The sequence below is a fragment of the Homo sapiens genome, chromosome 6 (genome assembly GCF_000001405.40).
Source record: "Homo sapiens chromosome 6, GRCh38.p14 Primary Assembly".
NCBI classification, from domain to species: Eukaryota; Metazoa; Chordata; class Mammalia; order Primates; family Hominidae; genus Homo; species Homo sapiens.
This window is the reverse complement of record NC_000006.12, coordinates 111,039,027-111,051,515: the sequence shown is the minus strand read 5'-3', so window position 1 is coordinate 111,051,515 and position 12,489 is coordinate 111,039,027. Positions and strand designations below refer to the sequence as shown.

General features: G+C 41.5%; 1 pseudogene across 1 annotated transcript; it reads left to right on the top strand.

The window, feature by feature from the left end:
• Positions 1-3,961: 3,961 nt before the first annotated feature.
• Positions 3,962-5,097, top strand: GSTM2P1 (glutathione S-transferase mu 2 pseudogene 1; annotated as a pseudogene). The gene has a single exon (NR_002932.2). The product of NR_002932.2 is annotated as a glutathione S-transferase mu 2 pseudogene 1 (transcript).
• The last annotated feature ends 7,392 nt before the right edge of the window (positions 5,098-12,489 follow it).

Genomic DNA, 12,489 nt, shown 5'->3' with positions numbered 1-12,489 from the left:
GCCTCTCAAAGTGCTGGGACTACAGGCATGAGCCTGGCCAAACCACACCTGGCCACTTAAATTTATTTTATTTTTATTTATTTATTTATTGAAACAGAATCTCGCTGTCACCCAGGCTGGAGTGCAGTGGCACCATCTTGGCTCACTGCAACCTCCGCCTCCTGGGTTCAAGCCACTCTCCTGCCTCAGCCTCCTGAGTAGCTGGGATTATAGGTGCATGCCGCCACACATGGCTAATTTTTGTATTTTTAGTAGAGACTGGGTTTCACCATGTTGGCCAGGCTGGTCTTGAACTCCTGACCTCAGTGATCTGCCTGCCTTGGCCTCCCAAAGCACTGGGATTACAGGCGTAAGCCACTGCGCCCGGCCTAAAATCTACATTAAAAGTTTTTTGTGGTTTCTTCCCCCAAAGTTTCTAGGCCTCTGAACATATCTAAGGGGAGCAAAAATACTATGTTTGCATGTTTCAAATAAATGAATAAAATATAGACAGAATTGACTAACTGTCTCAAGAATTAGATCAGGACTTTTGCCTCTAAAATAAATCCAAATATTAGTTTTCCTATTTTTCTCACTTTATTATCATAAATGGGCCTGATTTTATTTATTTCTTTTTTTCTGCGTCTGCTTGCTAGGGAAATGTGTGCCTTATTTTAAAAGTCCGTTGTGTTCCTTGAAGGCTGTCTGCAAACTATTTTTGGAAAGTGAATCATCTAATATCTAAAGATATCAACTATTTTAGAGATCCTTATACTGAATTTTGTTTGCAATAGTAAGAAATATATTTGTAATGCAAATATTCACTTTCTAGTTTTTCTATCTTTGAAAATTCAGATTTTAAAGGCTCAGATTTATGTGTCTCATAGATTCTGAAAGTTTATCACTATTAAAATAGTAAATAGCTGACAAAATACAAATGGCATGATATAAAGCACAGAAAGGAATTAAATCAGTGGGTGGAAATGTCTTAACTTTGTGCTGATTAAGAAGTAGTATGTGAGAAGAACTGTTCTTTTCCTTTTTTAGCTTCCTCATCTCCCCTGTTATGTTGTCCTTCCCTCTCCCAGTCCCCTACTTCAGCAAGTTCCCAAATTTTGAACAAATCAGTCTCCTGTTTGGCAACTTTTCCTGACCATTCAGCAGTCAGAAAACAGGAAAGTTACTCTTCCCTTTGCCCTGTTTTTAAAACTTCTATTTCTACTAGGCAGCTTTTACCTATCACACTGGGCTTTAACAAAGTATCTGAGGAATTAACTCACACTAATGTAGAAAACACTGGTGGCAATTTTCCACGTCTGTTTTTTTTTTTTCTCTTTGAGATGGAGTTTCACTCTTGTTGCCCAGGCTGGAGTACAATGGTGCAATCTCGGCTCACTGCAACCTCCGCCTCCCGGGTTCAAGCGATTCTCCTGCCTCAGCCTCCCAAGTAGCTGGGATTACTGGCGCGTGCTACCATGCCTGGCTAATTCTTGTATTTTTACTAGAGACAGGGTTTCACCATGTTGGCTAGGCTGGTCTTGAACTCCTGACTTCAGGTGATCCACCCACCTCAGCCTCCCAAAGTGCTGGGATCACAGGCGTGAGCCACGGTGCCCGGCCTCCATATCATTTTTTTAAAGGTCACCCAGAGGCAACAATGTTTTGACTGAAAGGAACAGTTCATTAGTGAATGGATTCTCTAGAGGACTTCTGTTTTACATGCATTTATCTCTGCTCTCTCTCTAGTCCACTCTAACAAGAGTAAAGAAAAGAAGGCACACAGCCAAAAGGACAAAGAGACAAAGAAGAACAATCTAAACCCAAAGCAAGCAGCAGGAAGGAAATAATAAGGATTAGTGCAGATATTAACGAATAGAGAATAGAAAAACAGTAGAGAAAATCAATGAAAGCAAAAGCTGATTCTTTAAAAATACCAACAAAATGGACAAAACCTTAGCAAGGCTGACCAAGAAAAAAAGACTCAATTACCAAATCCAGAATTGAAAGAGGGCTCATTACTACTAATCTCACAGAAATAAAAATTGTAAGGCAGCCAGGCAAGGTGGCTCATGCCTGTAATCCCAGCACTTTGGGAGGCCGAGGTGGGTGGATCACCTGAGGTCAGTAGTTCAAAACCAGCCTGACCAACATGGTGAAACCCCGTCTCTACTAAAAATACAAAATCAGCCAGGCGTGGTGGTGCACACCTGTAATCCCAGCTGTTCTGGAGGCTGTTGGCAGGAGAATCACTTGAACCCGGGAGGCAGAGGTTGCAGTTAGCCAAGATTGCACCACTGCACTCCGGCCTGGGCAACAGAGAGAGATCCTGTCTCAAAATAATAATAATAATAATAATAATAAATTATAAGGGAATACTATGAACAACTGTATGCCAACATATTACATAATATAATTTAGATGAAATGAACACATTCCTCAAAAGACACAAACTACCAAACCTGATTCAAGAAAGAATGGAAAATCTGAGTATACCTATAACAACTAAACAGGCTGAATTAATAGTAAAATAAAAGAAAAGTCTGAGCTTCACTGGTGAATTATACCAAGCATTTAAAAAAGAAATAATACCACTATGGTGCTATTCTATGATAGTATTATGGCATGGCGATTCCTCAAAATTAGAAATAGGATTACCATATAATCTGGAAAATCTACTTCTGGATATATATCCAAAAGAATGGAAAGCATGTTCTCAAAGATATATTTCTTGTTCATAGCAGCAATATTCACAATAGTCAAAAGATGGAAGCAGCCAAAGTGTCCGTCGAAAGATGAATGGATAAACAAAACGTGATGTATACCTACAATGGAATATTACTCAGCCTTAAAAAGGAGGAAAATTCTGATGCATGGTATAACATGAATGATCCTTGAGGACATTATGCTAATGTGAGATAAACCAATCACACAAAGATAAATACTGTACGATTCCACTTATACGAGGTACGTAAGAGCAGTCAGAATCATAGGAACAAAGCCAGGTATGCATCTAAAGTCTGAGGTACTTGGGAGGCTAAGGCAGAAGGACTGCTTGAGCATGAGTTCGAGGCTATGGTGCACTATGATTGTGCCTGAGAATAACCACTGCACTCTAGATTGGGCGACATAGTGAGATCTTGTCTCAAAACAATTTTTTTAATTATAGAAACAGAAAATAGAACAGTGGTTACTAGGAGCAGGGAGAAGGGGAAATGGGAGGTTGTTTAATAGGTATAGAGTTTCCATTTTGCAAGATAAAAAAGTTCTGGGCCAGGTGCGGTGCTCGTGCTTGTAATCCCAGCACTTTGGAAGACTGAGGCAGGTGGATCACCTGAGGTCAGGAGTTCAAGACCAGCCTGGCTAACATGGTGAAACCCCATCTCTACTAAAAATACAACATTAGCTGGGCATGGTAGAGCATGCCTGTAATCCCAGCTACTTGGGAGGCTGAGGCAGGAGAACTGCTGGAACCCGGGAGGCGGAGGTTGCAGTGAGCTGAGATCGTGCCATTGCATTCCAGCCTGGGTGACAACAGTGAGACTCCGCCTCAAAAAAAAAAAAAGTTCTGGAAGCTGGTTGCACATCAATGTGAATATACTTATCACTACTAAATTGTAAACTTAAAAATGGTTAAGATAGAAATTTTTATATTAGTGTATTTTACCACAATTTTTAAAAGATAAATGATACAAATTCTTCACAAACTCTTTCAAAATATAGAAGAAAAGGGAACATTTCCCAACTCATTCTATGAGGCTGGTATTACCCTGATACCCAAACCAAAGACACCACAAGAAAGCTACAGACTAATATCTCTTACAAATAAGATGCAAAATCCTCAAAAAAATATTAGGAAGTAGAATTTGGCAACATGTAAAATGGATTATACACCACGATCAAGTGGAATTTATCCCAGGAATGCAAGATTGTTTTAACATCCAAGAGTAAATTGACGTAACACACCACATCGATAGAGTAAATGGGCCTTTCTGCAGAATCCACACCGACCAGCACCATGCCCGTGACACTGGGGTACTGGGACATCTGAGGGCTGGCCCACGCCGTCTGCCTGCTCCTGCAATACACAGACTTAAGCTATGAGGAAAAGAAGTACATGATGGGGGACGCTCCTGACTATGACAGAAGCCAGTGGCTGAATGAAAAATTCAAGCTGGGCCTGGACTTTCCCAATCTGCCCTACTTGATTGATGGGGCTCACAAGATCACCCAGAGCAAGGCCATCCTGGGCTGCATTGCCTACAAGCACAACCTGTGTGGGGAGACAGAAGGGGAGAAGATTTGGGAAGACATTTTGGAGAACCAGCTTGTGGACAACCACGTGCAGCTGGCCAGACTCTGCTACAACCCAGATTTTAAGAAACTGAAGCCAGAATACCTGGAGGCACTCCCTGCAATGCTGAAGCTCTACTCACAGTTTCTGGGGAAGCAGCTATTGTTTCTTGGGGACAAGATCACACTTGTGGATTTCATCGCGTATGGCATCCTTGAGAGAAACCAAGTATTTGAGCCCAAGTGGTTGGACGCCTTCCCAAACCTGAAGGACTTCATCTCCCGATTTGAGGGCTTGGAGATCTCTGCCTACATGAAATCCAGCTGCTTCCTCCTGAGACCTGTGTTCACAAAGATGGCTGTCTGGGGCAACAAGTAGTGCCTTGAAGGCCAGGAGGTGGGATTGAGTTGCCCATACTCAGCCTGTTGCCCAGGCTGTGGAGAGCAGCTGGACTCTACACCCCAGCACCTGCCTTCTTGTTCCTTTCTCCTGTTTATTCCCTTCTTTACCCCCAAGACTTTATTGGCCTTCTTCACTTCCCCTAAACCCGTGTCCCATCCAAGCCCTTTAAAGCCTCAGCTACCCATTTTCCTTCATGAACGTCTCCCTCCCAACATTACCCTTCCCTGCACTAAAGCCAGCCTGACCTTCCTTCCTGTTAGTGGTTGTGTCTGCTTTGAGGGGCCTAACGGGCCCCTTGCCTGTGGAGCTCAGCCCTGAGGTCCCAGGGCTGCATGAAAGAGCAGTACTGACTGGTTTACAGGCCCTTCTCCTGCAGCATGGCCCCTGCCTTAAGCCTACCTGATCCAAGTAAAGCCTAAAACACACACACACACACACACACACACACACACACACAGAATAAACGTCAAAATCCACAGGATCATTTCAATAGATGCAGAAAAAGCATTTGACAAAATTTAACACCCTTTCATGATGAAAAAAAAACACTCAACAAAGTAGGAATAGATGAGAATTTCTTCAACCTAATATAGGGCTTCTACAAAAAACCCACAGGTAACAGCATATTTAATGGTAAAATAACTGATTCTTTTTCAGATGAAGCATCAAGACAAAATGAAGAACAGGACAAAGATGTCCGCTCTCCCGGTTTCTATTCAACATTGTGAAGGAGGTTCTAGCCAAGGCAATTAGGCAAGAATAAGAAATAAAAGGCACCCAGCTTGGAAAGGAAGAAATAAAAGGCACCCAGCTTGGAAAGGAAGAAATAAAAGTATCCTATTAGTTGATGATGTGATTTTGCATATAGAAAATTCTAATGAATCCACTAAGAAACTATTTGAACTAATAAACAAGTTCAGCAAGGTTTCAGAATACAAGATCAATATACAAAGAGAAACTGTATTTCTTTATAGCAGCAATAAGCAAACAGAAAATGAAATAAAGAAAATTCTGTTTACAATAGCATCAAAAAGAAAAAATGCACAGGAATAACTTTAACAAAAGAGGTACAAAGCTTGTATGCTGAAACCTACAAAACATCATTGAAAGAAATTGAAGATTTTAATAAACGGAAAGATATCCTATGTTCACAGATCAGAACACGTAACATTGTTAAGATGGAAAAACTCTTCAAATTGAACTAAGATTCTACACAATCCCTAACAAAAATCTTGGCTGATTTCTTGGCAAAAATTGGCAAGCTAATCCTAAAACTCATGGAAATTTAAGAAACTCAGAATGGTCAAAACAGTTTTTAAAAAGAACAAAGCTGTAGAATTTACATTTCCCAATTCTAAAACTCACTACAAACCTATAGTAATCAAGACAGAGTGGTACTGGCATAAGGACAGACATATCAATCAACAGAACAGAATTGAAAGTCCAGAAATAAAGCCTCACATTTACTGTCAATCGATTTTTGACAAGAGCACACAACCATTCAATGAGGAAAGAATAGTCTTTTCAAAAAATGGTGCCAAGACATTGGATATCCATATGCAAGGGATGAAGATGGACCCTCTAACTCACACCAGATACAAAAATGAATTCAAAATGGATCAGATACTTAAATCTAAGAGCTAAAACTCTAAAACTCTTCAAAGAAAAGACAGGAGTAAGTCTTTATGACCTTGGACTAGGCAATAGTTTCTTAGATATGACACCAAAAGCACAAGCAAAAAAAAGAAAAAAATGTGTAAATTAGACTTTATTAAAACAAAACTTTAGTCCTTCAAAGTACATCATCAAGAGAGTGAAAAAATTCCAATGCTCAACACCATTAATCATCTGATACATGCAAATCAAAACCACAATGAGATACCACTTTACATCCATTAAGATAACTGTAATAAAAATGGAAAATATACATAAGTGGACTTGTGTTATATGGGGAAAAAATGGAAAATAGCAAGCATTGGTGATGATGTGGAGAAATTAGAACACTCGGCCAGGCATGGTGGCTCATGCCTATAATCCCAGCACTTTGGGAGGCCAAGGCCTGAGAATTGCTAGAACCCGGGAGGCGGAGGTTGCGGTGAACCAAGATCATGCCACTGTACTCCAGCCTGGGCGACAGAACAAGACTCCATCTCAAAAAAAAAAATAAATAAATAAATAAATAAATAAAAAATAAAAAGAAAAGAAATTTGTAATTAAAGATGTGCTTTGTTGAGTTGGTATGCCACAAAGTTATATAGTCCTAAAAATATGCCTGTACTCTTCTTACCTGGCGACTCCAGAACTGAGGGAGATCATGGAAGGATGAAAGCAATAGGTTTCTCATGGCAGTGAATATGATTTTCTTCTTCAATTTTCCTTCTCCTTCTTGTTAAATAAAATTCCCCTGGTTGCAACTTCCTAATGAGAGGATTGATGACAATTGAGTTCTTTTGGAAGATCCATCTTTAGGCAGATTTTGGTTGTATCACTGAAGCTGTGACTGGGATGTCATATATGAGAAGATATATAGAATGAATCTATAGGTACTGCAGGCTAAGTCTAAAGTATGCCTTGATTTGGCTTCCTAGCCTAAAGAAGTTTTAAAATGTCCATTCTTAGAGTTCTTATCAAAAGTTCCAGCAAAGCTTTGCAGCAGTTAATGTTATAGAAAAAGAGAAAAAAAGTTCCAGCAGTCTGGGTGCAGTGGCTCACGCCTGTAATCCCAGCACTTTGGGAGGCCAAGGCAGGAGGATCACCTGAGGTCAGGGGTTCAAGACCAGTCTGACCAACATGAACAAACCCCGTTTCTACAAAAAATACAAAATCAGCTGGGTGTGGTGGCGCATGCCTGTAATCCCAGCTACTCGGGAGACTGAGGCAGAAGAATTGCTTGAACCTGGGAGGCGGAGGTTGCAGTGAGCTGAGATTGCACCATTGCACTCCAGCCTGGGCAACAAGAGCGAAATTCTGTCTCAAAAGAAAAAAAAAAGTTCCAGCAAAGGAAACTTAAAAACAGTCTGTGTGGTCATTCACTATTCCTGCTGCTCTTACGTAAATAATCAGGCTAAGTTTGATGAGACTAACCTTATTTTGTAAACACATTTGTGTTATTCTGATTATTTTTGGTAGAAATGGGAGTAACTGCAGAGAGAAAAACTGTTTCTGAAGAAAAGCTATAGTACACCTGCTATTAGGTTGTGGCTTTGCTCATCGTTTTCAAGTTTTTCTTATCTTCTTGTAGACTGGACTAGATTCTAGAATTCTCTTTTCCTCCAATATCTGGCTACAATTCTCCAACTAAGAACAAGAACTGCTCTGTACCCAAAGCCCTCTAAGCTGAAACCAGACAACTCGTTGTAAATTTCAAGGGACAAGTGCCATTCCTGATGTGTTGGCCACACAGAGTTCACCAAAACGCCTGATGCCATAACCAGAGACATTCAAACTGCAAACCAGGGAAAGAGGTTGACAACTTCATGTTGTAAACAGCTTTTCCCAAGGTGTCAGCACAAGACTGCCTATCATAATAAGACTCTTGCCCCTCTGAACTTTTTTTTTTTTTTTTTTTTTTTTTGCCCATCTTTTTCGCTTGGCACAGTCAGCAGCTCCTGCGGGGGCAATCTGATGAACTGTTGGATCTGTCGTGTGAAACCCAAATCTTTACATAACCTAAGAGCTTCTTTAGTCCATCTAGTGGGTAAGTTTAGCAACATCCCTAACGTAACTGTTGTTCAAATTGTACTAGTGGTCCCTTTAATAGGGTTACACTTCTAGATCCACTTGTTCTCACTCTCTGCTTTAATATAACCCAGTCATAGGATACCAGATTTCCTGCTAGCTGTATAGTATAGGAGGAGTCTGTGCCATTGATAACACTTCTTGTTGTACATGGGTAGATACGTTGGGTATTACAGAGACTTGGTTGCAAAAAATGAACAGTCTGCTTGGTTAAAACAAGTGGACTCCTCATCTGGCTCATTCTTTGATCTATTCAATTTTAGTTGGTTTGGTTCATGGGGACCCTGGCTAAGGAGCTTATGCCAAACTGCTGGTATTATCCTCCTGATAGTCATAATAGTAGTCTTGCTGGTGTGCTATATTCTCTCAAAGGTTTTAAATACTTACATGTAGCCATCCATCGAACATTGAATGATCTCTCTTCAGCTAGAATAACAAAAACTCAAAGAAATATGTGATCAGACCAGACTTGATGGCTCACGCCTATAATCCCAGCACTTTGGGAGGCCAAGGCCAGCAGATCACGAGGTCAGGAGATCAAGACCATACTGGTTAACATGATGAAAATTTGTCTCTACTAAAATACAAAAAAAAATTAGCCGGGCATTGTAGCGGGCACCAGTAGTCCCAGCTACTCGGGAGGCTGAGGCAGGAGAGTGGCGTGAACCTGGGAGGTGGAGCTTGCAGTGAGCCCAGATCGCGCCACTGCACTCCAGCCTGGGCAACAGAGCGAGATTCTGTCTAAAAAAAAAAAAAAAAAAAGCAAAAGAAATATGTGATCCTGAGGACACCACAATCTAAGAATGGTACATCGAGACCAGAAACCCAGAATGATGGTAACTGAGAGCAGTGTGAATGGCCTAGGTTTTGGTCGCACTCTCACCTGGGTGACAGCCTGACCCAAATGGTGAAATTGTTTAAAAAAAAAAAAAGTATAGGAGGCCATTGGTTTGGACTGAGCTCCTGCTTTAGATCCAACAGATCAAACCAAAATGGAGTCAGTCATGCTAAAGTTTCACATCACCAAACTGAAACTAAGTTGTTTATCTAACATTCTGAGAAATCAGGCGAGAGATAATAGCTAAATCCCCAAACAAGCAATTTCAGCCAGTATGATAAAGAAATCCCCTCTCCTTTAGCCTTTACAAGGAAAGTATAACTTTGAAACAATCAATCGACTTTTTGTTTTCTGTTTTGGCTTTTCTCAGCCTTTTTCTGTCTATAAAACCAACCTCCTCTGATTAGAACACTCATTGTACTTTTTTTTTTTTTGAGACTGAATCTCGCTCTGTCACCCAGGCTGTATGTAGTGCAGTGGTGCGATCTCGGCTCACTGCAACCTCCGCCTCCTGGGCTCAAGCAATTCTCGTGCCTCATCCTCCCGAGTAGCTGGGATTACACGTGCGTGCCACCACGCCTGGCTAATTTTTGTATTTTTAGTAGAGATGGGGTTTCACCATATTGGCCAGGCTGGTCACGAACTCCTGACCTCAGGTGATCCGCCCGCCTTGGCCTCCCAAAGTGCTGGGATTACAGGCATGAGCCACCACACCCAGCCTTATTGTATTTTATAGTATGAGGTGTTTCTCAGTTCTAGAATTACAAAAAGCCAATTAAGTTTTTAAGCTAAATTTGTTATAATTTTGTCTTTTGCAACTCTTCTTTCTTCTCCTCCTCTTCTTCCCCCCCGCCTTTTTTTTTTTTTTTTTTTTTTGAGATAAATCTCGCTCTTGTACCCCAGGCTGGAGTGTAATGGCACGATCTTGGCTCACTGCAACCTCCGCCTCCCGGGTTCAAATGATTCTCTTTGCTCAGCCTCCCACCATTCACCTTACAGGCACCTGCCACCAGGCCTGGCTAATTTTTGTGTTTTTAGTAGAGATGGGGTTTCACCATGTTGGACAGGCCGGTCTTGAACTCCTGACCTCAGGTGATCTGCCTGCCTTGGCCTCCCAGAGTGCTGGGATTACAGGCATGAGCCACCGTGCCCCGCCTTTTCCCCTTTCTTTTCTTCCATTGTTGTTCTTAAGTTTGCACAATAATTAGGATAAATAAGCATTTATAAAATCAGGTATAATTTAGTCTTCTAATACATATTCCAATTGTGTTGTCACATCTTTTATCCAGATTAATACCTTGGTACATATCCTTTAATTTTATTAATAAAAGTTAATTATTATTTTAATTACTTTATTTATTTATTACAGAAGGGGTCTTGCTAGGTTGCCAAGGCTAGTCTTGAACTCCTGGGCTCATGCAATCCTCCCACCACTCAAGTAGCTAGGATTATAGGCATGAGCCACCATGCCCGGCTTGTCTGCATGCCTTTCTTCCTTCTTTCCTCCCTTCCTTCCCTTCCTTCCTCCTTCTTTTTTCATTTTCTCTCTTTCTTTTTATTTTCTGATTTATTGGTAGAAATAGGGTCTCACTGTGTTGTCCAGGCTGGTGTTATTATTTGTAAATGGGCTGATTTAGGTAAATGATGGATTATCACCCCTTCTTTTTTTTTAGAGATGGGGTTCTGCTATGTTGCCCAGGCTGGGCTCAAACTCCTGGGCTCAAGTGATCCTTCTGTCTCAGTTTCTCAAGTAGATGAGACTACCAGGCTCGCACCACTGTGCTCAGCTTCCCCCATTTTTATTATTAACATTTCCTCAGCCAGGCATGGTGCCTCATGCCTGTAATCCTAGCACTTTACAATGTCGAGGTGGGCAGAGCACTTGAGCCCACGAATTTGAGACCAGCTTGAGCAACATAGCTGGGTGTGGTGGTGCGTGCCTGTAGTCCCAGGTATTTGAGAGACTGAGATGGGAGAATTGACTGAGCCCAGGAGGTCAAGTCTGCGGTAATCATGCCACTGCACTCCAGCCTGGACAACAGAGTAAGATCCCATCTCAAAATAAACAAAACAAATTTTCTCACACTTTCTTATACACTAACTATAGACTATGTCATTTGACTGAAAGAGAATAGTACATTCTTCTTTTCTTTTTCTTCTTTTTTTTGAGATGGAGTCTCACTCTATCGCCCAGGCTGGAGTGGTGCAGTGGCGTAATCTCAGTTCACTGCAACCCCCGCCTCCCGGGTTTAAGCGATTCTCCTGCCTCAGCCTCCTGAGTAGCTGGGATTACGGGCATGCGCCACCACAACCGGCTAATTTTTGTATTTTTAGTAGAGACGGGGTTTCACCATGTTGGCCAGGCTGGTCTTGAACTCCTGACCTTGTGATCTGCCCGCCTCAGCCTCCCAAAGTGCTGGGATTACAGGCGTGAGCCACCGCATCTGGCCTAACATTCTTCTTTTCTCAGCCTTTTAATAAACACTTGAATGTTTTCTTTTTTTTTTCTTTTTCTCCCTCTCGAGACGGAATCTCGCCCTGTCGCCCAGGCTGGAGTACAGTGGCGTGATCTCGGCTCACTGCAACCTCTGCCTCTTGGGTTCAAGTGGTTCTCCTGCCTCAGCCTTCCGAGTAGCTGGGATTACAGGTGTGCGCCACCATACCCAGTTAATTTTTGCATTTTTAGTAGAGACAGGGTTTCACCATGTTGGTCAGGCTGGTCTTGAACTCCCGACCTAGGTGATCCGCCCACCTCAGCTCCCAAAGTGCTGGGTTTACAGGCGTGAGCCACCGTGCCTGGCCAAAAATCTTGAACATGTTCCAAGTGCTTATTGTTAAAAATAGAAAGTAGAAAAAATATATTTTGTTTTTTAATCAGTTGCCTTATAAATTCATTCAAAATTACAACAGTTGGTTTCTAGGCTAGATTTATATTTGCTCAATAATTCATTTTGAGAACTCAAAATCACAAGTCTGGTTCCAGGTCCATCTAGTTGTAGTTCTTATTTATATTGGTAGAAAACATCTTTTTTTTTTATAAAAAGGAAAAAAGAAAATGAAACCTCAACAACAAAAAATAACTTAAAACCTGGTCATTTTCCTATCCCCAGAAGTCCCCAAATCACAGAATCTCAGCTGGGGAGTGCATCTGGTCTCGTCTCCTGCCTTCAGCCATATTCCTCTCTCTAGTATCTCTCTTGTCTATGTCCAATCGCAGAAGCCTCACTGCCTCCCCAGGCAA